General features: G+C 53.1%; 1 protein-coding gene and 1 non-coding gene across 9 annotated transcripts in view, besides 3 other annotated features; both read left to right on the top strand.

The window, feature by feature from the left end:
- The window catches only part of SPTB (spectrin beta, erythrocytic), a 133,625-nt gene that overhangs the window by 92,465 nt on the left and 16,404 nt on the right, over positions 1–24,756 (top strand). For 6 of the 8 annotated variants that reach the window (NM_001355436.2, XM_017021612.3, XM_047431724.1 and 3 more), the window contains 17 exons: positions 283–1,039; positions 1,492–1,694; positions 1,816–1,906; positions 3,050–3,196; positions 4,890–5,153; positions 7,512–7,718; positions 8,197–8,286; positions 12,040–12,318; positions 12,916–13,046; positions 14,019–14,223; positions 14,489–14,863; positions 16,314–16,558; positions 17,715–17,853; positions 18,325–18,409; positions 19,584–19,780; positions 20,091–20,140; positions 20,642–20,717. In NM_001355436.2, coding sequence (NP_001342365.1) covers positions 283–1,039; positions 1,492–1,694; positions 1,816–1,906; positions 3,050–3,196; positions 4,890–5,153; positions 7,512–7,718; positions 8,197–8,286; positions 12,040–12,318; positions 12,916–13,046; positions 14,019–14,223; positions 14,489–14,863; positions 16,314–16,558; positions 17,715–17,853; positions 18,325–18,409; positions 19,584–19,780; positions 20,091–20,140; positions 20,642–20,717 — 3,541 coding nt within the window. The other 2 variants (NM_001355437.2, XM_011537105.4) reach the window with 2 other exon arrangements.
- MIR7855 (microRNA 7855) lies at positions 1,757–1,817 on the top strand. Its single transcript, NR_107009.1, has one exon. It is a non-coding gene; the product is annotated as a microRNA 7855 (primary transcript).
- Positions 11,615–12,114: an enhancer, noted in NCBI's record as "H3K4me1 hESC enhancer chr14:65242047-65242546 (GRCh37/hg19 assembly coordinates)". NCBI's record gives its function as "activates a minimal SCP1, AML or CMV promoter by ChIP-STARR-seq in naive H9 embryonic stem cells {active_cell/tissue: H9 hESC(naive)}" and the evidence as "EXISTENCE:reporter gene assay evidence [ECO:0000049][PMID:30033119]".
- Positions 12,115–12,616: an enhancer, noted in NCBI's record as "H3K4me1 hESC enhancer chr14:65241545-65242046 (GRCh37/hg19 assembly coordinates)". NCBI's record gives its function as "activates a minimal SCP1, AML or CMV promoter by ChIP-STARR-seq in naive H9 embryonic stem cells {active_cell/tissue: H9 hESC(naive)}" and the evidence as "EXISTENCE:reporter gene assay evidence [ECO:0000049][PMID:30033119]".
- Positions 20,158–21,076: an enhancer, noted in NCBI's record as "H3K27ac-H3K4me1 hESC enhancer chr14:65233085-65234003 (GRCh37/hg19 assembly coordinates)". NCBI's record gives its function as "activates a minimal SCP1, AML or CMV promoter by ChIP-STARR-seq in primed H9 embryonic stem cells {active_cell/tissue: H9 hESC(primed)}" and the evidence as "EXISTENCE:reporter gene assay evidence [ECO:0000049][PMID:30033119]".

Raw genomic sequence — 24,756 nt, 5'->3', positions numbered from 1 at the left:
CTTTGCTTTCATGTTCCTTTACTTATGGTTGGAGTCACATAATTAATTGCCCCCTGCTGATCAAAAGATCTGATTGACAGTTATATATGTCTTGAGTAAAATTGGAGAAGTGAATTTTGCTCACCTACACTTCGTTAGGTAGATTTTTTTTTTTCTTTTTATCATACAAAGTCTGTGGGGGGAGACTTGTGGGAAATGTGGGAAGGGGTCAGGGTCTCCTATGGGAAGAAGAGCTAAGGGAGAAGGTGTCTCTCTCCTCCGGGCTGTGTCCCCATCCGGCAGGTGGCAGGCATTTCAGACCCTGGTGTCGGAGCGGCGGGAGGCTGTGGACTCAGCCCTCCGAGTGCACAACTACTGCGTAGATTGCGAGGAGACCAGCAAGTGGATCACGGACAAGACAAAGGTAGTGGAGTCCACAAAAGACCTGGGGCGGGACCTGGCAGGTATCATCGCCATCCAGAGGAAGTTGTCAGGGCTGGAGCGTGACGTGGCCGCCATCCAGGCCCGTGTGGATGCCCTGGAGCGTGAGTCCCAGCAGCTGATGGACTCGCACCCTGAGCAGAAGGAGGATATTGGTCAGCGGCAAAAACACTTGGAGGAGCTGTGGCAGGGCCTGCAGCAATCCCTGCAGGGCCAGGAGGACTTGCTGGGGGAAGTCAGCCAGCTGCAGGCCTTCCTGCAGGATCTGGATGACTTCCAGGCCTGGCTCTCCATCACCCAGAAGGCTGTGGCCTCTGAGGACATGCCCGAATCCCTCCCAGAGGCTGAGCAGCTCCTGCAGCAGCATGCAGGTATCAAGGATGAGATTGACGGGCACCAAGACAGCTACCAGCGTGTTAAGGAGTCTGGGGAGAAAGTGATCCAAGGCCAGACGGACCCAGAGTATCTGCTTCTGGGCCAGCGGCTGGAGGGCCTGGATACTGGCTGGAATGCCCTGGGCAGGATGTGGGAGAGCCGCAGCCACACCCTCGCTCAGTGCCTTGGCTTCCAGGAGTTCCAGAAAGATGCCAAGCAGGCTGAAGCCATCCTCAGCAACCAGGTAGAGAGGCATTCAGGGCTGGGACAGGCGGGTCTCTCAGGGCAGTAGCTCTTGTGGTGAGTCCACAAATGTGCTGTAAGACTCAGGGACCACATTACTCTTGTCTTGTACTCTGTATTCACTCATGGGGGAAATCTTTGTTTCTCATTAGGGGCCTTTTCCAGCCTTGTGTCCCAAACTACGCCTTGTTCTTGGGTCTATCAGAGGCTAGAGAAGCGCATTTTGCCCTGGGTGGTTAGCCTTCCATGTGGCTTTAGGCACACTGTTTATTGTGTGCCCCTGGGGTAGGGGTGGGGGCAAGGCCTGGGGAGTAGTGCCTCCTCCCTGTACTACTCTAGGGGGCTCATTCATACCGTGGCCTGTGTGGCTGCACGTGGTGCTCCCACTTGGGAGGTGTGCTCATCACCTCCTCCGTGTGTCTTCATGCCTTGTCTGGAAACTTGTTCCAACAGGAATACACTCTGGCTCACTTGGAGCCCCCAGACTCCCTGGAAGCTGCAGAGGCTGGGATCCGGAAGTTTGAGGATTTCTTGGGGTCTATGGAGAACAACCGGGATAAGGTCTTGAGTCCTGTGGACTCTGGAAACAAGCTGGTAGCTGAGGGAAACCTATACTCAGACAAGATCAAGGAGAAGGTGCAGCTGATTGAGGACAGGTACTCCCGGGCCCCAGGGCCACGAGGCCCCCAGAGCCACACGGGGGTAGTGAGGACCCCAAGCTTGGTGAGGACCCCAAGCTCGGCACTATTGTGACTGTGCTTTTGGCTTCCTTTCCAGGCACAGGAAGAACAACGAGAAGGCCCAGGAGGCCTCTGTCCTACTGAGAGACAACCTGGAGCTACAGAACTTCCTCCAGAACTGCCAGGAGGTGAGGCTCCAGCAAGGAGTGGCTGCTTTCCTGGAGATTCCTTTCTAGAAGCAGAGTTCCCTCAAGGCAGGAAGTCCACAGGGATCCTTTCTAGCTCAAGAGCTGTGGGATTCCATGAGCGGGGACCTCTGGGTACTTAATTGGGTCATTCTCTGGAATCTTCAGTTGCACTGTTTTTTTTTTTTCAAATCTGAAAAGTCATCCTTAACCTGTCAAGTCTAGGCCAGAGTTTCTTAAGAGTAGTCTAGGGACAGTCTATTTTAGAATCACCTAGGACCCAGTCTGGGCCAGCTTTGAGGATGTGTGACCTGTGTCACACCCTGTGCTTTGCTTAGAAGGGCCCTGGGCTCAGGTTAATGCTCTACTCTTGCCATCTTGAAATTCTTCATGCTTTTGAACAACTCCATTTTGTACTGGGCCCTGCAAATTATGGAGCCAGTCCTGGTCCTAGTTAAAGCAGACCCCTGGGTCCCACTCAGGCCAGATGAATCAGAACTTTACGGGGTGAGACAGAGAAAGAACATTTTAAACAAACCTGCCAGTTGGAAAACTGCTAGCTCAGAAGGTCCTTGCTCAACCTGGGACCAGCTGTACAAGGAAGGTCTTTAATCCGCCTTCCCAGGTCCCTCCATTGACAGTACTTTCTACATGGAATGGGGTTTTCCCTGACTTCTTTCTTGTCATACTCCTTTTCTCTCAGCCCAGACAACTTTGTTTTCATTGACCTCTGTCCTTGGCTTCTTCCTCAAATAACATTTTTTCCTGTGTTTATCAAGGATCTCTCACCCTACGGCCAAAGGACGGATTTATCCACCTATCCAGTAAACACTCGTTGGGTTCCTAGAATATGCTAGGCCCTGTCCTAGGTCCTCAAAATATGGAGAGGAGCGTAAAGTATCCCTGGTCTACACCACACACACTCCAGTGGGGAAGATGCACCTGTGCCCACATTTTAGCCCTGGCCTGTCATGGGTAAAGTTGCCTGTGCTGGTACAGAGGGATCCAGAACTGCAGATGGGTTCTCTTCTGTGCTTGCACTTCCTCCCCATGGCCTTCTCCTTCTGCAGCCAGGGATGGGCAGCAGGTTCTGCTCTGCCAAAGAAATATACTCAGGGATAGTCAGCCCACTCTTTATGCACACAGCTCACTCTCTGGATCAACGACAAGCTGCTGACATCTCAGGATGTCTCCTATGATGAAGCACGAAACCTTCACAATAAATGGCTAAAGCACCAGGCGTTTGTGGCAGAGCTGGCTTCCCATGAAGGGTGGCTAGAGAACATCGATGCGGTAAGTAAAGTGATTGGGCGGCGGGTGGGTGCTCTGCTCAGATAGGCTTGCCTGGATGGGCTTCACCCAGGGTGTGGACCCTGTCCTAAAGCTTGCTGACAGTACAGAACGTGGCAGCGAACAACTTTTCTAAATAGTAGCTAAACCTTCAGAGCTCCTGATGTAGTCAGTCTTAGTACACCTGGTCAGAATCAGTGCCTCTTCTGGGTCACCTGAATCTGGGGACAGCCCAGGACACTGAGGACATCTAGTTAGAGCTTCAGTGTCCAGTGCCAGGACAGCAGTTATTAATGTTTGCTTTCCATTGCCTTCACCAGGGCTCCAGCACTGTCCTGCACAGGGCTGGAGGAATAGGCAAGATGATCACAGTGGTCCAGGGGAGCCATTAATCCTCATCATTTGGATGGACAGAACCACTGGGGAGTGGTCGTTTCCACTCCTTATAGATGGCGAACCAAGGGACCCCTCTGTAGTGAGTTTGCCCAGTGGACAAGTCCAAATGTGGCTGGAATTAGATGTGGAAATCACTACCTTTGCTCATCTCTACCATGGCTGTCCATGAAAAAGCAGCCCTAGGATCAGACTGACTTCTTAACCTCCCTGTGCCTCAGTTTCTCCCTCTATGAAATGAGAGTAATAATAGGACCTTCCCAGTGGAGTTGTGAGCACTAAATGCTTAAAGACAAATGAAACATTTAGCATAGTACTTGGCAATTATGAGACACTCAATAAATATTAACTATTAGGCCAGGCACGGTGGCTCACAGCTGTAATCCCAGCACTTTGGGAGGCTGAGGTGGGCGGATCACCTGAGGTCTGGAGTTCGAGACCAGCCTAGCCAACATGGCGAAATCCCATCTCTACTAAAAATACAAAAATTATCTGGGCATGGTGGCATACGCCTGTAATCCCAGCTACTCAGGAGACTGAGACACAAAAGGGCTTAAACTGGGGGGCGGAGGTTGCAGTGAGCCAAGATTGTGCCACTACATTCCAGCTTGGGCAACAGAGAGAGACGCTGTCTCAAAAAAAAAAAAATTAACTATTATTAGTGATATAGATTCCTAAGTCCAATTTATATCACACTGTGCCCACCCAAAAATGATACATCTATGCAGATGAAAACCAGGTAAGGCAACCTCAGTAACCGAAGGAGGTCAGCGAAGGTTAGTGCACAACCTCAGGAACTCACGGGGCAGTTTCTGCACTGACTGTACCTGGATGGGTCTGGAATCCTTTTTCTCACAGCAGCTGACCCTTGTCTGCAACTCCCATGCTGCGGTCTCCCTGAGTCATTGCCCCCAGCACTGCTCTCCCTGCCCAGCTTCCCCTACCAGCCATGTCTAACCCTTTGAATATGAGGACCTTTTCCTTATCTGTGGTGGTGCATATCATGAAAATTATGCACAGGCTTTTTTTTTTTTTTTTTAACTCATCAACTATTGTGTTAATGTATTTTATGTGTGTCTCAAGACAATTCTTCTTCCAAAGTGTCCCAGGGAAGCCAAAAGTTTGGACACCCCTGCTAATGCTGGGGATTCAGAGTTCATTTCAGTTGAGTCTTACCCATGTTCTATGAAGATTCTTTGCCTTACTGACCTCCTCTTGGGTAGCCTCTTGCAACCATCAGGAGCAGGGCTGATCCAAGGCCCAGTCAGCCCAGAATGTGAGCTCTCCTCCTTCTTGCCCCTAGGAAGGAAAGCAGCTGATGGATGAGAAGCCCCAGTTTACAGCCCTGGTGTCCCAAAAGCTGGAAGCCCTGCACCGGCTCTGGGACGAGCTGCAGGCCACCACAAAGGAGAAGACCCAGCACCTCTCGGCTGCCAGGAGCTCCGACCTGCGCTTGCAGACCCATGCTGACCTCAACAAGTGGATCAGCGCCATGGAGGACCAGCTGCGGTCAGACGACCCGGGCAAGGACCTGACCAGTGTCAATCGGATGTTGGCTAAGCTGAAGGCACGTGAGTGGGTTGTAGACTCAGAGTGTTAGGATAGAAGGGATAGTGGAAGCCAGTCTGACACCTTTATTTTTAATTTTAGGTTTGGGGGTACATGTGAAGGTTTGTCACATAGATAAACACATGTCATGGGGGTTTATTGCACATATTATTACATCACCCAGGTTTTAAGCTCAATACCCAATAGTTATCTTTTCTGCTCCTCTCCCTTCTCCTACCCTCCCCCATCAAGTACACCCCAGTGTCTGTTGTTTCCTTGTGTTCATAAGTTCTTCTCACTTAGCTCCCACTTATAAGTGAGAACATGTGGTATTTGGTTTTCTGTTTCTGCATCAGTTTGCTAAGGATAATGGCCTCCAGCTCCATCCATGTTCCCACAAAAGACATGATCTCGTTCTTTTTTTATGGCTGTGAAATATTCCATGGTGTATATGTATCATATTTTCTTTATCCAGTCTGTCATTGATGGGCATTTAGGTTGAGTCCATGTCTTTGGTATTGTGAACAGTGCTGCAGTGAACATAAGTGTACATGTGTATTTATGGTAGAATGTTTTATATTCCTCTGGGTATACCCAGTAATGGGATTGCTGGGTCAAATAGTAGTTCTGCTTTTAGCTCTTTGAGGAATTGCCATACCACTTTCAACAATGGTTGAACTAATTTACACTCCCACCAACGGTGTATAAGGGTTCCCTTTTCTCTGCAACCTTGCCAGCGTCTGTTATTTTTTGACTTTTTAATAATAGCCATTCTGACTGATGTGAGATGGTATCTCACTGTGGTTGTGATTTGCATTTCTCTAATGATCAGTGATATTAAGCTTTTTTTCATATATTGTTGCCTGCATGTGTGTCTTTTGCGAAGTGTCTGTTCATGTCCTTTGCCCACTTTTTAATGGCATTGTTTGTTTTCCTCTTATAAATTTAAGTTTCTTATAGATGCAGGATATTAGACCCTTGTCAGATTCATAGTTTGCAAATATTTTCTCATTTTGCAGGCTGTCTGTTTACTCTGTTGATAGTTTCTTTTGCTGTGCAGAAGCTCTTAAGTTTAATTAGATCTCATTTGCCAATTTTTGCTTTTGTTTCAATTTCTTTTAGTGTCTTTGTCATGAAATCTTTGCCCATTCCTATGTCCAGGATGATATTGCCTAGGTTGTCTTCCAGGCCTTTTATAGTTTTGGGTTTTACATTGAAGTCTGTAATCCATCTTGAGTTTATTTTTTTATATGTCTAATGAAAGGGCCCAGCTTCAATGTTCTGCATATGGCTAGCCAGTTCTCCCAGCACCATTTATTGAATAAGGAGTCTTTTCCTCATTGTTTGTTTTTGTCAGCTTTGTCAAAGATCAGATGGTGGTAGGTGTGTGGCCTTATTTCTGGACTCTCTACTCTGTTCCATTGGTTGATATGCCGGTTTTTGTACCAATACCATGCTGTTTTTGTCACTGTAGCCTTGTAGTATAATCTGAATTCAGGTAATGTGATTCCTCCAGCTTTGTTCTTTTTGCTTAGGATTGCCTTGGCCATTCAGGCTCTTTTTTGGTTTCATGTAAATTTTTAAATAATTTTTCTAGGCCAGGCATGGTGGCTCATGCCTGTAATCCCAGCACTTTGGGAGGCCAAGGTGGGCAGATCACCTGAGGTCAGGAGTTCGAGACCAGCCTGACCAACATGGAGAAACCTTGTCTCTACTAAAAATACAAAACTAGCTGAGTGTGGTGGCACACGCCTATGATCCCAGCTACTCTGGAGGCTGAGGCAGGAGAATCACTTGAACCCAGCAGGCGGAGGTTGCAGTGAGCCAAGATTGCACCATTGCACTCCAGCCTGGGCAACAAGAGCAAAACTCCATCTCAAAAATAATAATAATAATAATTTTTCTAGTTCTTTGAAGAATGTCATTAGTAGTTTGATAGGAATAGCATTGAATCTGTAAATTGCTTTGAGCAGTATAGCCATTTTAATGATATTAATTCCTCCTATCACATGAGCATGAGATGTTTTTCCATTTGTTTGTGTCTTCTCTGATTTCTTTGAGCACAGTCTGAAACTTTAAGCAGTCCTACTCTTCCTCTTAACTGGACTTGCTTTTATCATGCAAAAATGTCTCCTGGTTTCTAATCCATCTCCAACCCCTTTTGCAGTGGGTAGGACAGAGACCCAAAATGATGCATGAGAAACAAAACAGGCACTCAGAAGAGGGAAAGATGACTGGGAGCATCCAAGGAGACTCCTTGGAGGAAGTTGAGCTCAAATTGGGCCTTAAAGGATGGGTGGGATGCAGATGAATGAAGAAGATGGAGGGGCTGTGCAGGTGCCAAGGCTGGTGCTGACACCGTCCCCTTGTGTCTCAGCGAGTGGAGGACCAAGTGAATGTGCGAAAAGAGGAGCTGGGGGAGCTGTTTGCCCAGGTGCCTTCAATGGGAGAGGAGGGAGGAGATGCAGACTTGAGCATCGAGAAGCGGTTCCTGGACCTCCTGGAACCCCTAGGAAGGAGGAAGAAGCAGCTGGAATCATCCAGAGCCAAGCTGCAGATCAGCCGGGACTTAGAGGATGAGACGGTGCGTGGGCCACAGCTTCTCCCTACCTCCTGAGGCTGAGCCACCAGCTGCCATCAGAGTAGCTGGCTGCCACCCAGAGCAATTTTTGGCAGTAGATGACTGGTCACCTCACCCCTTATCTCATAGGGTTCTTGTGAGGATTACATTAAATGGAAAGCTCAAGCCAGTGCTTTTGTTGGGAATGCACTGTTCACTTGCTAGTATTGCTCGGTGAAGAGCATGGACTTGGGTCAGACAGACTTGGGTTCGAGATCCAGCTACATTACCTTCCCACTGTCTGACTAGGAGCAAGTTATTTGGAACCTCAGTTCAAAATCCCCAAATATTCTAACCTATAAAATGGGGGCAAAACCCTGATGGGGTGTTGGGAGGAACTGGGGAGACACTGCCAGCAAAGCTCTGCGCCGCCCATGGTGAGCACTCAGGAAAGGTTGGCCGTGATTGTCATCAGCTCTCTCCTGCCTCCTGGTCTCTGCAGCTTTGGGTGGAGGAGAGGCTGCCTCTGGCCCAGTCAGCCGACTATGGCACTAATCTGCAAACTGTGCAACTGTTCATGAAGAAGAACCAGGTGAGTCCTGCGTCACCTCACCAGCCCCACCCACCCCTCCTCACCCCCACCTGGCCCCACGGGGGTAGGCCCAGCCCTGACCTGCAGAAGGCTAGCAACAGCAGATTATTGTTCTTGTTGGTAGCTTTGGGGTCTCCAAACCGTATTGGTAATCTTATAGCAGAAAGAGCAGGTTTTTGTGATTACAGAGCAAATTCTGGGAGGATCACAGAGGAGGGGAGGTAGTTGGGGATTCAGGGCCATTCAGCCTCCATCAGGCACAGGTGAATGCAGGATCTCGGGGGCCTGGCCTGGAGGTTGATGTGCTTCAGTAGCTGTGTATTCGGTGTATCCAGTGGTCTGCCTGAGAGGAGGGCAGTAACTCCTGATCTCTCTCCCACAACACTGCCTTGCCCCTCTTCCAGGGCTGAGCTTGGCATGTGTGGTGTCCTTGGGGTAAGTAGGCCCCATTTCTCTCGACATATGAGGATACTTGTGGGGCTCAAATTCCATTAGGAAGCCACTAACTTTGGACTCTGAGCCCTTGGAGCAAACATCCCTCTGCTTTTTGGCACTCGCTTAGCCCTGATTGGGAACTCCTGTGGCCCTGGTCAGGATCCTGGATGTGAGCAGATGCCAAGCACTCCCTCTTGGGTCAGGGCTGCAGTGGGAGCCTGAATCATGTAAGGAAGCTGGCTGTGTGGGGTCGCAGCGGCCAGGGGAATGGCCACAGACCCTTCTTGGACAGAGAGACCCTCCCTCTGCATGCTCTCTGGGTCAGCAAGGAGAGCCCAGGAACTTAGATCCCAGATAAAAGTGACATGTCCCAGAGTGCCCGGTTAGTATTGCAGCTCCTTGAGGAAGGAAGGTCATGGCAGACAGCACTCCCTTCCCCCAGCTTGGCAGCAGCTGACATCTGCTCACAGGACCATGTGAGCCCAGCAGCAGTGCAGAGGCCTAGATTATATTCAGAGAAGTTTCTTCAAAGCTGCCTTAGGCCCTTTGCTTCTGGTTGACATGATCTAGTCGCAGAGGCTCCAGCAGCCACACGCAGGGACCTGGGCTAGAAGATGATAGAAATCTAGCCTCAGTTAATGCCACAACCTTCAGCTAAAGGTGGAAGGCTGGTAGGACATGGTATCCTTGGGACCTCAGTTTCCTTAATTGTAAAATGAGCCAACTCTAGTCTTTCCAACACTAGGATTTTTGATTCTATGCAGCCTCTGTAAGTGTTATTGTTCAAAGGTTTTTAACTCCCCTGGCTGGCAGTTGCTATTTCGGGAAAAGGGCAAGACAAATACGGATGGGGTTCCCCTAACCAAGAAGGGAAAGGCAGCCTCTTGGGACAGCGTGACTGCCCTAATGAAGACTATTTTAGGCTCACCTGGCTAAACCATAAATCCAATTTTATCATTTCCTCACCTAAAACCCTCTGTTGCAATGGTTGTCAAACTCCAATATGCAACTCCTTTAACAAGCCTTCTGGGTGAGTTTACACGACTTAACCAGGTGCCACCCCCAGATCCCTACTGCATCAAGCTCTGGGGGTAGAGCCTAATAATTTGCATTTCCAACAAGATCCTAGGTGATGCCGATGCTGCTGGTTCAGGACTGCACTTTGGGGACCACTGTTCCCAGGGCTATTCATTGCAATTAGAACAAATTCCACAAGGTAGTACATGAAGGGCTCTCACCCCTGGCTGTACACTCACATCACCTAGGGAACTTTTAGACAGATGAATGCCCAGGTCTCACCTCAGATCAATTAGGATCTCTGGGGGTAGGCCCCTAGCTGCATCTGTTTCCCTGGATTATTCAGTGGGCAATCAGGATTAAGAACCACTCTTGCCTGACCTGACCCCTGCCTGCTTCTGAAACTCAGCTCTTCTCACTTTGCCCTCCTTCACAGTATTCCAGCTCTTCTGGCCCTCTCTGTGGCCTCAGACGGTCCCAGCTCATGTCCACCCCAGAGCCTTTGCACTTGTTCAGTCCTCTTGCCAGGAACACTCAACCCCAGATCTCTGTGTGGTTGCCTCCCTCCCGTCATTCATGTCATGGTCAAGTTTCGTATCCTCAGAGAGGCCCTCCCTGACTCCCTTAGCTAAAGTGGCTCCTGCCACATCGCAGCAGACATTCTCCATCCCACTGTTGTCTTTTCCTCGTAGCCCCCAGGGAGGAAGGCCCAGCCTTTGTTTATTCATTTATTTGCATGTTTACCTTCTATTTCCTCTACCAGGTTGTAAGCTTTAAAGTGCAGGGATTTTCATTTCTCTTGTTTCTATATTGTCCCTATTACCTAGACCAGGGTCTGGTACATAGAAAAGAACTTAATACATAGTTGTTGAATGAATGAAGACAGGGAAGAAGACTTTAAATGTAAGTACCCTGCACAGATACTAGAAAGTAATTGGTTAAAAAGGAAGAAATACCCTTTTAGGCCGGGCGCAGTGGTTCACACCCGTAATCCCAGCACTTTGGGAGGCCGAAGCGGGTGGATCGCCTGAGCCCAGGAGTTTGAGACCAGCCTGGGCAACATGGCAAAAGCCCATCTCTACAAAAAATACAAAAAATTAGCCAGATGTGGTGGTACATACCTGTAGTCCAAGCTACTTGGGAGGCTGAGGTGGGAGAATCATCTGAGCCTGGGAAGTTGAGGCTCAGTGAGCTGATTGTGCCACTGCACTCCAGCCTGGGTGACTAGAGTGAGACCCTATCTTAAAAAAAAGAAATTAATTTTTAGGGCACCATGCAGAGGTCATAAGATCTCAGAGTAAACAAGCAAATGGAGCTGAAAACATGGGTTGTTTGAATGCAACTGCAGAGACTATAGGAAATTGTAAAAATTGAGGTTCTGAGCATAAAGTGTAAAAATGCATTTCAGCAGGTTATGTGACTTGTAGATGTGGTTATTTTGTGCATATTTTAAATGCTGGCCATCACTGTGCTGCTCATGTGGGCTGCTCTTGCCCCTGCCTTCCAATTTTAAAGGCCACAGGAAAATTATATAGAGAGGGAAGAAACAGGTAGTGAGGTATATGGAGCTCAGGAGCCCACACACCAGCAGCAGCTAGCCCAGTCTTTAGGACCCAGAAAACAAGTAACACGTGTCAGGGCCTCCTGAAGAAAAAGGTGACCAGCCACCAGGGTGGGAGGAAGAGGCTGTGTTCATGACCAAAGGCTCAAACAGGGACTAATGCAAAGCTCACAAAAATATGAGAAATAGAAGTAGGGAAAAACAAAAGCTGAGACTGTAAGCAAGGGGCTGCTGTCACCTGTTCTTTTAGATGGAAGGCAAAAACTGTGCCCACCTGAGCTGCTGGGTTGGGCGTATCCTGCGTAAATGATCCTGCATAAATCCTGCAAAAGCTGTTAGAATAAGGTATCAAAAAGGCCATTTTTCTTTTCCTTCCAACACATACACCTAAGGAATCAAGCTCTGCTGAAGCACAGGAAGATAGGGGACAGTCAAGAGCACAGGCTGCCAGGTCAGGTGGAGCTGTGTTCAACTCCGGCTCTGCCACTGAGTGACTTCACTGCTGCATGCTGGTCTCCACATGCTTATCTCAGCAGGCCACCTGAGGGTGCAAGAATGGTGCACATGAGGTGCTTAGCAGCCCGCAAGAGGTCATTGGTAGTTCTTATCGCCATCACCTGCTCTGCTCTAGCAACGGGGGTGAGAGGGACCAAGGGTGTCAGAGCTGTGCTGCCACTGCTGAAGCAGCCTCCCCCGCATGGTGGGAAGGCCCTGCCCCGAGCCCTTCCTTCTGGCCGCAGACACTGCAGAATGAGATTCTGGGCCATACGCCGCGGGTTGAGGATGTGCTGCAGAGAGGGCAGCAGCTGGTGGAGGCGGCGGAGATCGACTGCCAGGACCTTGAGGAGCGCCTGGGGCACCTGCAGAGCTCCTGGGACAGGCTGCGGGAGGCAGCGGCCGGGAGGCTGCAGCGACTGAGGGACGCCAACGAGGCACAGCAGTACTACCTGGATGCAGACGAGGCTGAGGCCTGGATTGGCGAGCAGGAGCTCTACGTCATCTCCGATGAGATCCCCAAGGTCTGTTCGGGCAGGGGATACCAGCCAGGGTGCCCAGGCAGAGAGGAAGAGTTGAGGTTGGCTGTCGGTAGGGAGCCTTGTGAGTCCAACTGTGTGAGGAGTGAGGCCAGGGGAGGGGCACAAGGAACCCACAGACTCCCTGCCCTCCCTTGGTGCCTCCTTGAACACACCCCTGCAGGGCACACACTGAAGCCAGGTGCCTCCTGTTTACCCACTTAGGTTTGCTCTAACCCAAGGGTTCTCTACTTTTCTTTACCCTGGATTCTGTACGCTATGAAAGAGATGGGGTGAGAGGTGACAGGTGGGGGTCTCTCAAAGCTGGAATGATATAGGATGTTTTCATGGGGACAGGGGTTAGAGCACAAAAGGAAGGGTATATGTCGGATACGAATCAGGGGAGTCCAGAGAGGAAGGTAGGGCACGGGCATTGCTGGGAAATCAGAAGGGCAGGAAGGAAGCATGTGTGGCTCTCCTGCGGGTGTCCCACAAGCCTACTCCCCTCCTCCCTCGGGCACCTCCAGGAGTGGGGGCACAACTTGCCAAGGGAGGGATCATGGCCAGACTGAGCTCTGGCGCTGACCGTCTGCTGCCTCCTAGGATGAAGAGGGCGCCATTGTGATGCTGAAGCGACATTTGCGGCAGCAGCGTGCGGTGGAGGACTACGGCCGGAACATCAAGCAGCTGGCCAGCCGGGCCCAGGGCCTGCTGTCTGCAGGCCACCCTGAGGGGTGCGTGCGCCCCCTGTGGTGACTCGGTCAGGAGATGGGGATTGAGCCAGGGGCCCACCAGCCAACGTCCCTTCAGATTTAAAAGGAAAATGGAAAGAGTTTTCCCATCAAATAGGGCTGGAGAAAATTGCTGCGGGACTGGTGATGGATCCAATTTCATTTTATGCCTTGGTTTTGTGTGAATCACTTCCAGCTGGGCCATCGAGGCCCTGGTTTTCGAAATGATCAGAGAAGGGGTTAGCAAAACTACCCTCTTGGTGACCTGAGAGCACCAATTTTCCGAAGGGTTACAATATGCTAAGGGACACTGAAGACTACTTTAGCTTTTATTTTTATGGTCCAGAAGGTCTCCAGGACTTCACAGTCCAGACAGAACCATGATGTAGGAGTGCAGGTGGAAACCTGTGCCCACATGGGCTGCGAGGTTTTGTGGATCCTGCATAAATGGAAGCCCACTGGGCCACAGACCACACACTGCCCCCAGCCATGGCCCTGTCCTCAGCTGCCATTAGGGTGCCCACCACTGTGGGTCCTCAGCAGCCACCCCAGAGGTTTCCCTGGGAGCCACATTGTCTGGGCCCCTAGTATGTCTTTTCCCTCCCTGGAGGGCTGAGCAGAGCTGTTGCTGCGGGAGCCCCACTCAGGTAGTGCTGCTCCCCCAGCCTCTCTGGAAGAACAATGGAGGCGTTCCCCATTTGCACTTGTCCCTGTAAGCTTGCCAGAGTGAGGGGCACCATGGGAAGCACCCCTCCAGGACAGAATTCCAGGACACAGTGTGTCATCCCCTGAGGCTAGGGTGTGGCCCCTTCTCTCCCCAGCTCTTCCCCGGCAAAGCCCCTGTCATTTCTCCAGAGCTTCACTCCCTACCTATCCCTGCCAGGGGGCTGTGGTTGGCATATGTTGGCTCCCTGGAGCCACGGCTCTGGGTTCGTGGCTGCCGTCTCTGAGGGCCTTTTTGGTTTTGAATTCCAGGGAACAGATCATCAGACTTCAGGGGCAAGTGGACAAGCACTACGCAGGGCTGAAGGACGTGGCGGAAGAGCGCAAGCGCAAGCTGGAGAACATGTACCACCTGTTCCAGCTCAAGCGGGAGACCGACGACCTGGAGCAGTGGATTTCAGAAAAGGAGCTAGTGGCCTCTTCCCCGGAAATGGGGCAAGACTTTGACCACGTGACTGTGAGTAGCCACAACTCCTGCTGTTTTTGTCTTTCTCTAATGCGGTAGACGCAGCCAGCCGTCACTCAAGACACACAGAGTGCTGCATAGGACGTAACCTCCCCAGTGTGAGGCGGGACCAGCCGATGCAGGCCTGCCCTGGGGAAGGTGTGACAGCGCAGCTCCCGGAGCTGCAGTTGCTGCCTGGGAAAGTCTTTGGCTAAGCTGGTGACACCTGTAACCCCTGTGCCCCCCATAACCACATTTCTGTCTGCCCCATGCCTAGCTTCTGCGGGACAAGTTCCGGGACTTTGCCCGGGAGACCGGGGCGATTGGGCAGGAGCGGGTGGACAATGTGAATGCCTTCATCGAGCGACTCATCGACGCGGGCCACAGCGAGGCGGCCACCATCGCCGAGTGGAAGGACGGGCTGAACGAGATGTGGGCAGACCTCCTGGAGCTCATTGACACGCGCATGCAGCTGCTGGCCGCCTCCTATGACCTGCACCGCTACTTCTACACGGGTGCCGAGATCCTGGGCCTCATCGACGAGAAGCACCGCGAGCTGCCCGAGGACGTGGGGCTGGACGCCAGCACGGCCGAGTCCTTCCACCGGGTGCACACAGCCTTCGAGCGGGAGCTCCACCTGCTGGGTGTCCAGGTACCTTCAGCCCCCTGCCGCCCACCTGCTACCAATTTCCAGGAGCCCTGGGTGTCAGTCCCCACCTGGCTGTCAGCAGGAAAACCTCTAGGATAAGTGCCAGGAGGTTTTGCCTCCTTAGACAGCCAGGAGCTCAGGGCTGGGAGCAGTGGCTTTCAGATGTTCCTTAGCTTCAGAAGTCATTCTTTAAACTGAATCCTCACAAAAGGCCAATGCATACAATACTATACGGTTGCAGTTTCTCCAGTTGTGCAGTACTATTAGTGGACACACGCACAGCACTTTTCTAGCACCAGGTGCTCTTCTGAGCAATGTATGTAGCCGCTGGACCCTCATGGCAGTCCTCTGAGGCAGCTACTAATATTCCCTGCACTTTGTAGATGAGAAAAGGGAGAGGTAGAAGACCCATAAGTTTCCCAGGAACATGTAGGTACGAAGTGGAGCCAGGGCTCAGACCCTGGCAGTCTAGCTATAGACCCCACATACTTAGCCACCGGGCACTTCAGCCTTTCCACATGGGAGCTGGAGAGCCCCCAAGTTCTACTGTTCAGACCCCTGCCCCATCACTGGAGTGCCCTCCGCAGATCCGTAGGGTGCCCCAGAGCTTGGTGTGATAGAAAGGGCAAATGCAAGGGGGCCCCTGTTGCTGAGGGCTCCCCCAGCTTCCAGTGCAGCAGGGAGAGGTAGGCTGGCTGCGCAATCCCAGGCCAGCCCTGCAGGGCTTGGGGACAGAACACCAGGGTTGGCTGGGCCCCTGGTTCATCCAAAAGGGGACCTCTTAGGGAAGTGTCCTCCAGCTGGAGTGGAGGGCCTGGTGTGTGGCTGTTGCATTTGGGGATGCCAGGGCCCCTGAGATAGGTGTAGCCCCACTGAGGTCTTAGGAGTGAGGTTTCACTGTCCCCAGGGCCAGCCTCAATCAGGGGATCTGGTGCAACCACTTCCTTGGAGAGGCAGCACACAGAATGGTTAAGAACGGGGACTCAGGAGCACGGTGCAAATCCCAGCTGTACCCCTTTACTAGTGTGAAGGACCCTGGACCAGTTACTTAGCTTCCTTGTGCCTCGTTTTCCCCATCTCAGAAACAGCAATAGTAATAGTACCTCCTTCCTGGGTTTGTTGGAAAGACGAAGAGAGTTCATCAGTAGAAAGTGTTTAGAACAGTGCCTGATATGTAGTTCCTCTCATTAGTGTATTGTTGAGGAGATCAAAGGGCAGGATTTCCTCTCACTCCCAAACCTTCACAAAGTTCAAGAGGTATCTTGGGTAGGCAGAGGTGTTAAAGCAAGGAGTCTTCTCCTACAGCACCCACTGGGTGGAGGCTGAAGATCCTACCTTCCAGCAGTGCCCTGGGCAGGGAGGCCAGGAGGAGGTAGCTGCCCTTCCAGTCCTAGGCCCACAGCACCTAGGGAGCAATGTCCAGGGAACAATGTCTGATTTTGCCTGACCACAGGTGCAGCAGTTCCAGGACGTGGCCACCCGTCTGCAGACAGCATATGCTGGGGAGAAGGCAGAGGCCATCCAGAACAAGGAGCAGGAGGTGTCTGCCGCGTGGCAGGCGCTGCTCGATGCCTGTGCCGGGCGCCGGACCCAGCTAGTGGACACGGCGGATAAATTCCGCTTCTTCAGCATGGCCCGTGACCTCCTCTCCTGGATGGAGAGCATCATCCGGCAGATCGAGACCCAGGAGAGGCCCAGGTGAGGGGAGTGTCCTTGAGGCAGAGGCAGCTCCTCTCCAGGCCAGAGGAGCCCGGCCAACCAGGGTGCTGCACTGTGGCTCCTCCGTGAAGGGACAGTCCTGGACTATCGTTCCATGAAAATCCCTGGGGGACACTTGAGGCCTGAGGCTGGATCGAGGCAGAAATGGCCTGGGTCAGCTTCCACTGGGAGGACCAATCGCTCCAGAGTCAGGAGAGTCCTGAGTGTAGAGAGAGAGACATCTGTCATTCAGGTTCTCTAATGGGAACAGTGACCATGGTTGTCAGTGAAAATAAGCAACTCACATATCCAAAGCTGGGCAGGTCTAAGACTGCGCATTCTTCTCCCAGCCCTGGGATGTGAGGGGGCCCTTCCCCCAAAACTCAGGAAGAAGCTCATCGTCCATGAGAGGAGGAGTCAGGCATGTGGGCAGTGAGAGCCCCTGCAGAGATCAGACCACTCTGCCCAGTCTGTGTCACTTCATCAGTTATTGCTGATCCATCTCCATCCTATTGCCCCTAAGGTGTCTGTCCTGATGGTCTTACTTTTAACATCCTTATGGAGATATAATTCACATACCACACTTCATCCATTTAGTGTGTATCATTCAGTGGTTTTTAATATATTCGCTGTTACACAACTATCCCCACAATCTAAGGTTAGAAGATTTTCATCACTCCGCCCCTATTAGCAGTCACTCCCCATTCCCCTCTCTTCCTAGTCCCTGGAAACCACTACTCAACTTTCTGTCTCTCTAGATTTGCCTGTTCTGGACATTTCATATAAATGGAATCATACAATATGTGGTCTTTTGTGACTGGCTTCTTTCCCTTAGTATAATGTTTTCAAGATGCATCCCTGTTGTAGCATCAATCAGTACTCCATTCCTTTTTATTGCCCACTAATAATCCCAGGCTTCTTTGGGGATTTCTGTACCCACTGCCCATGCTCTGGCCACTGAGCAATGGAAGATACCAGGGCATCTGTGTTCCTGCTGGGGCTGGGCTGGCGGAGGACCCCCTGGCTGGCCAGAGAGAGAGGAGGGAGCACGGTCACACTCCCACAGGCAGGGGGAGGTGGGCCCCTCTGGTTGGGACACAGAGGCAGGCCAGAGTGACCCAGAGTTCCCTTCTTCCCTTGTCCTCCTGTCCCCCAGGGATGTCTCCTCTGTGGAACTGCTCATGAAGTATCACCAGGGCATCAATGCAGAGATTGAAACCCGGAGCAAGAACTTCAGTGCCTGCCTGGAGCTTGGCGAGTCCCTGCTGCAGCGGCAGCACCAGGCCTCAGAGGAGGTGAGGGGACTGCAAGGATGGAGGCGAGCTCCTCCGTCTCCGTCCCCACTGTGCCAGCCAGGCAGCCTCCTGGGAGGGAGATGAGAGCTGCAGCTTTTCTGAGGAGCTTGTCTTGCTCTCACTCATGGAGATCGGGGCTACACACAGGCCCGGGGATTGGAGCCCCAGCAAGCGCACTCCCTGCCTTAAGGAGCTGGCCACTCAGTAACGGAGAGCAGCCTCATAACCGGCCTAACACCCACAGGTGCACACACTTTGGAGCTGGTGACCTCCTTTAATAGGAGAGGCGCATGGGCCTCAGAGAGGTTAAATAACTTGCCCCAGGCCACACAGCTGGCAAGCAGCTGGGCCAAGACTTGAAGCCAGGGCTGTAGGACCAAACCTGGCATTCTTTGCAGGACCCATCTGCGCACTGCCTCAGATGGTGAAGGGTGAGCCAAGCCTGAGCTTTTCTCCCTTTCCTCCCCATAGATCCGCGAGAAACTGCAGCAGGTGATGTCCAGGAGGAAAGAGATGAATGAGAAGTGGGAAGCCCGCTGGGAGCGGCTCCGCATGTGTGAGTACAGCCCTGGAGCCAGGGCCCAGGGGCAGGAGTACCCCCGCAGGAGTAGGGGAATGGGGAGGTGCCACAATGGGTGGATTTTCACTACTGCCTAGAGAGGAGCCCCCCACAGCACTGCTCTTCAGCAAAGCTCTGGGGCCAGGGGCCTCAGCGGTCCAGGCAGAAGGCCAGAGTAGACACGCTGCTGGAAGCCTCACTCTAACTAGCCAGCGTGCCCCCACTCCCTGCCCATCCTCTGCCGCACTTGTCCCCAGCCTCATGCCCGGGCTGGTATGCCTGCAGAGCTATGGCCTGGGGGAGGAGTTGGGGGCCCGGGGGAGGGGCTGGGGGCCTGGGGGAGGGGTTGAGGGTCCGGGGGAGGAGTTGGGGGTCTGGGAGAGGGGTTGGGGTAAGGCTCTGAGGAATCCCAGACATTCCTCATGAGGAATGTCAAGCACAGAACCGGCTCTTCGTCCTTCAGCTGGGTGCTGATGAGAGGTGGGGAAAAGCCACCATTCAGGGAGGAGCTGTGAGCCAAGAAGGGCCAACTGGTGCCCCTGGCCACTCATCCAGCATCATGTGAGACAGCCAAGGGCTGGGAAGAATGTTCAACACAGAAGACTCCTTTTCAGAGACATCTAAAATACATTTTGTTTTCAAAATAGAGTTCTAATTAGTGAAAAATATAGCTTAAAAAATATAACTATTGGGCCAGGCATGGTGGGTAACATCTATAATCCCAGCACTTTGGGAGGCCAAGGCAGGAGGATTGCTTGAGCTCAAGAGTTTGAGACCAGCCTGGGCAACATAGGGAGATCCTATCTACAACGACAGAAAAAATTAGCTGGGCATGGTGGTGCACACCTATAGTCCCAGCCACTTGGTAGGCTGAGATGGGAGGATCACTTGAACCCAGGAGGCTGAGGCTGCCATGAGCCATAATCACATCACTGCACTCCAGCCTGGGTGACAGATTGAAGCCCTCCCTCTAAAAAAATATAACTATTGTGAAGATCGGTTAGGGGCCCAGTGTGGAATGGGGTGGCTGCAGGCAGCAAGCGTATCCATGTGGTTTAGGGACACCTATTCAGGCCACCTGCCTGACCACTGGCCCCAATCAGGAGTGAACGATTGGGTGCTAACAGGCCCTGGGCCTTGTGGGGGGTCTGTGTCCTGTTCCCCCTGGCAGTGCTGGAGGTGTGCCAGTTCTCGAGGGATGCCTCTGTGGCTGAGGCGTGGCTGATTGCCCAGGAGCCCTACCTGGCCAGCGGGGACTTTGGACACACAGTGGACAGTGTGGAGAAGCTCATCAAGAGGCATGAGGCTTTTGAGAAGTCCACGGCCAGCTGGGCAGAGCGCTTTGCTGCCCTGGAGAAGCCCACCACGGTGAGCAGGGAACAGTGCTGGGAGGCTCAGGAGGGTGGCAACTGTGCCCCCAGGGGTCTCATGTAAGGACTCCAGGCCAGTTGTTAGGTACTTAGAATGGTGTGACAGGCTTGGCCAGCAGCGACAATGGGAAGGAAAGACAAGTGGCAGGAAGTACTGACCTCCGAATGCAAAGGACAGAAGGGGCTGACTCTAGAAGGAACAAGTGTCAGGGCATGTGGGGGTGCAGGGCCGCATCCAGAGGGAGATCGTCTGAGAACACAACTCGCCTCTGTGGCTGCTCTGACCCCTGGGCCTTCTCCTCCTCTAGCTTGAGCTGAAAGAACGCCAGATTGCAGAGAGACCCGCAGAGGAGACTGGGTGAGTGGTGGCCGTGTGTCCAGGGAGCTGAATGCTCTGCCAAGTGGGAGTAGGGGGTGCCTTTCATCAGAAACCTGACATTGGGACCAGTTGCATTTGACTTCTCACACTGGGCACCCTCGTCAGGAAGGCCCAGAGTGCCTGAGCATGAGCGCAGAGGACCTTTTGCTTCCCCAGTCACAGGCGGGCTGAAGGCCTGGTGCGGGAGGAGGGGGCTGGGAGCAGTGGCTGCCAGGCGAGGCCCCACCTCGGAGCCACCTGAACACGGGGCCCCACAGGCCGTTCTGCCTGGAACCTGGCTCCCTTCTGAAGAATCTGCCTTGGCTTTTCCGAAGAAGTCGCTGGGCGGCTCCTTGCCAAGCACCATCCAGGCTGCCGGCTGACTGGAGGGGGAGCTATTTGGTGCTCCTCCCTGTGGGCGCAGGTGAAAAGCCAGGCCTCGCAGGAGGCACTGGCCTCAGAGGGGTGCTTGTTTCTAAAGAGAGACTGTGTCTTCCTTAGGCCTCAAGAGGAGGAAGGCGAGACAGCAGGGGAGGCTCCAGTTTCCCACCATGCGGCCACCGAGAGAACGTCCCCGGTCAGTCTCTGGTCTCGTTTGTCTAGTTCCTGGGAGTCACTGCAGCCAGAGCCCTCTCACCCCTACTAGGCTCAGCCCAGGTGGAGGCGAGATGAGCTGGCGCAGCCCCGCCCTCCATCCTCCCCACATCCCTGCAGCCACCTCCCAGCAGAGCAGGCTACGTCCTCACTGAGGTGTTCTTCATGAGAGTACTAGCCTCCTCCACTCCTCCCCACAGCGCAGAGGAAACAGGCCAGCCCAGTGACATGACGTTATTAGTTTTGTTTTACCTAATGTAATAAATTTTATTGTATAAATATATCACCATTTACATGAGGGGAAACACTAGCCAGAGATGATTAGTGCATTTCTGTACACCGTCCTTTTCCCCATTTTCCAACTCCTTCCTCTAGGCAGTACTCACCCCCTGCACCCACACCTACACACAGGCACATGCCCACACACACATGCATGCACACACAAATACACACCCACATGCACACACACCACACACCCCCATATATACAGACACCTCACGCACAACCACACACCCACATACACATACACACACACATACACATACACACAAACACACCACACCCACCCACATGCACCCACACCACATCCCCATACACACATCCACACACACCCACACACGCATACTCATACAGACCACACCCCCCATACACACCTCACGCACACCCACACACCCACATACACACATATGCACACACAAATATGCACACACCACACCCATCCACATGCACACACCACACCCCATACACACACATCCACACACTCACACCCACACACATACACACTCATACACACCACACCCCCACACACACACACATGCACACACCGCAACCTCCACACACACACACACATACATGTGCACACACCACACCCCCACACACACACACACTCACACACACACACACCCCAATCACTCAGCTGTCCCATCCCACCTGCCCCACCACAGGCATCTTCAGTGGTGAAGTGGGGGTGCCCATCCTTGTAGGCGATTCTTTCCCCCTATGCAGAGCCCTCTCCTCTTTCCACCGATCTGGCCTGAGGCCTGTGGGTCAGTGAGTCTGGATATGGAGCTGGTTCTGGGGCAAGAACAGACTTGAAGGAAGCCTGCAAAATTGAGGAGAATCCCAGGGCTTTGAGTAACAGAGGTCAGCCCCCCAACTTGTCGGAAAGGAGGATGAGCCAGAGGCCTGGCTCAAGGGACAGGGAGAGCCCAAGACAGCAGCTGCCAGAGGCCTAGGGCATGCGCCTCAGGACCTTACCTGGAGCAGGCCCCTTAGGACTCCATGGGGTCTGTGCAGGGAGCCTGGGAGGCTGTCACCCAGGCTTAGGGAGCTGCTCTGGGGAGCAGCTGACCGAGAAGAAAGCAAGAATTCAGCACACGGCTTGCACGGCTTCCCCCTGCATGTCCCCGCTGTGGCAGGCTGCACTGGGGGCCAAGGGAGCCACAGATCCTTCCTGCAGCCCACCTCTCCAGGTGTCCCGTGAGCCCGCCTGAACCTGGGGGTGAGGTTAGGAAGACTGGCATTCCACATGGAAGTTTCTGGTACACCAGTCACACCCAGAAACATATACAGATAGTGAGGCCTCCCTTTTTCAGCCCTTCTCACCCTCTGAGAGAGACAGATGCCCTCCCCACCCACCCCCATCCACCACCCGCGCGCGCGCGCGCACACACACACACACACGCACACACTCCTCTGTGGCCTCCAGCCTGGCCAGAGGCCTCCCTTTCCTAGCTGCACCAGCCCACCATGCCCAGCAGAGGGCACTGCTGGGCTCCTGCTGAAGGGTCTCTCCCAGAAGTTCCCTCCGAAGCTCCCGTCATCGCATGTGGGGTCGCCTCCCTGTCTGTGGTGGACTGTGTCCCAGCCCCTTTTTCCCAGCAACAGCCCCTGCCGGAAGGAGAGCGAACTCTGGGGGGCCGGCACAGACTGCGGACACGGGCTAGGGCCCTGCACCCTGCCCCCGCCTGCTTCTGCCATGCGTCCCTGTGTGTCTGCATGTGGCGGTGTCCTGGTGTGCGGGCTCCTCTGTGAGCACCAGAGCGACTCCATCCACTGTCTGTGTCATCTGTGTCTGTGCAAATGTAATTACTTGTGCATCAGAGCCGCCTCCAGCCAACACCTGAATGTCACTGGGTTGGGGGGAATAAAACCTGTTTGGACCTGATGATCTCTTTGGGGGAAGAAGTGAGCCCACATTTGAGACCCTTTCCGGAGAGCCAGCCACTCCAGCAGATGGGAAGACTGGCTTGTGCCCGGTACCGGAAAGAAACCAGATGGTGACTCAAACGAACACAGACCCAAGGCCTCACGCACAGATTTCCTGCTGCTGCTCCCTTCTGAGCCTTTTGTTAAGTTCTCATGGGGATCCACGAACCTCAGAGGGAGGGCCTAATACCCCATCCACCTTCGATGCAAGAAAGAGGAGGACAGAGCCTGTCGGGAAAGCCCAACCTGGCTCTAGAAGGCTCCTTGCAAGCCCAGTGGCTGGTCCTTCCAGCCTGCCTGGAACTACCCCTTCACAGAACCGCAGGCCTCTCCCAGGAAGGGATGGCCAATGGCTGCGCCTCCCCTTGGGGATAGTCCTGGGGGATGGTGGCTCTCCTGCTGGTCCTCTGTGTGTGGTCTGGTGTCGGTGCCCTACAGAATAGATCCATGCGGTGTTGCTTCATGTACAATCCCTCACTGTGCATGTCGGCTTCCTGCTGGGGGGAACTGATGGGAGTGGACCAGGCACCCCTGCTCCTGTCTGGACAGCTGCACACCACAGGGTGGCACCCCACCCCAGTCCTCCCCTTCCCCACGTGTGTGTGCACGTGGTGACTGAAGCTGCCATCCCACACATCAGCCTCTTTCTCAAGCACATCACTGCACGGTCCCACCGCCTTCCCTCACCTCTTGCCTTTTTACATTAGAGCACGTTCTGGTAAAGGCCAATCCGTTCATACAGGTAAGTGCATGGGAGGCCAGGCAGAAGAAACAAGACCTCACTCACGAAAGACAAAACTGCTGGAGGGGAAGTCAGGACATCTGGGTTCTAGTCCTTAATTCTGTTGGTAACTTCCTGCGTGATTTGAGATAAAAACCACCTAATCCCCTGAGTCTCCGCGCTCTTATAAAGCCTTCTCTGGAGAATTACGGAAAGTCTGGAACATTTCTGTATGTCAGCAATTTAGCAAATTACAGGGAGGGGCTGGGAGAGGTGGTTTTCACCACTTTCCTCTTGCCTGGTGCTTAGTGCTGTGGTACCTGGCTGGTCTCAGGTACCCACTGGTGTGAGACGGGAGATGGGAAAGAAGTAGTAAAGGGCTGGGGTGTTTGCCTTCGTCCCTGTGGGGGACTAGAGGTGGGGCTGCACCTCTGCTACGGTAAGGACAGTGCCCTGAAGGAGGCCCAGGTCTGCGAGGGAGCCCTCGGCAGTGGGCAGGCAGACCTGCTCCAGACTAAGCATCTCCCCTTCACCTGGGGCTGTGGCCCTGGGAAGCACTTGGGGGTCCTGCTGAGCATCCCCCACCTCCCAGGCTCTGGGTGCCTCAGAAGCCCCAGTGTAATGTGTGGTGAGAGGCTGTTTTCTCCTGGGAGAGAAGGAGGTGGATTGCATGGAGAAGAAATGGTGTTGATGATGCTGCAAGTCCCCCCAGGCTAAAGGTCCCTAGTGCACAGCCCTGCGCATCTTCCTGTCCACTGTGCCTGATTCTGGTTTTGGGAAGTGAAGTGTGAACTGCTCTGAGAACTCCCTCAGCAGGGCTGCGGTGATGCCATGTGTGACGTCCCTGAAAGGGATTGGTGCTCCTAATCACCTTTGCTAGGGCTCACTGTGTGGGATAAACATACCCTGCCTGCCTCCAAGCCCCAAGGCTAGATCCAGGCTGTAGTGCAGACGGGACCCTGGGATGCCAGGTCACTCCAGAAAGCAGCTGCTGGGTGCCCCCTCGTTATCAGCCTTCTCGTCAGGAAGTCAGGGAAAGCTCTCTTCCCCAAGGGCAGCTCACAGATGCCATTCTTCCGCGTGGCCTTCCAGC

This window comes from Homo sapiens, chromosome 14 (genome assembly GCF_000001405.40).
Source record: "Homo sapiens chromosome 14, GRCh38.p14 Primary Assembly".
Taxonomy (NCBI): Eukaryota; Metazoa; Chordata; class Mammalia; order Primates; family Hominidae; genus Homo; species Homo sapiens.
This window is presented reverse-complemented; position numbering and strand designations above follow the sequence as displayed.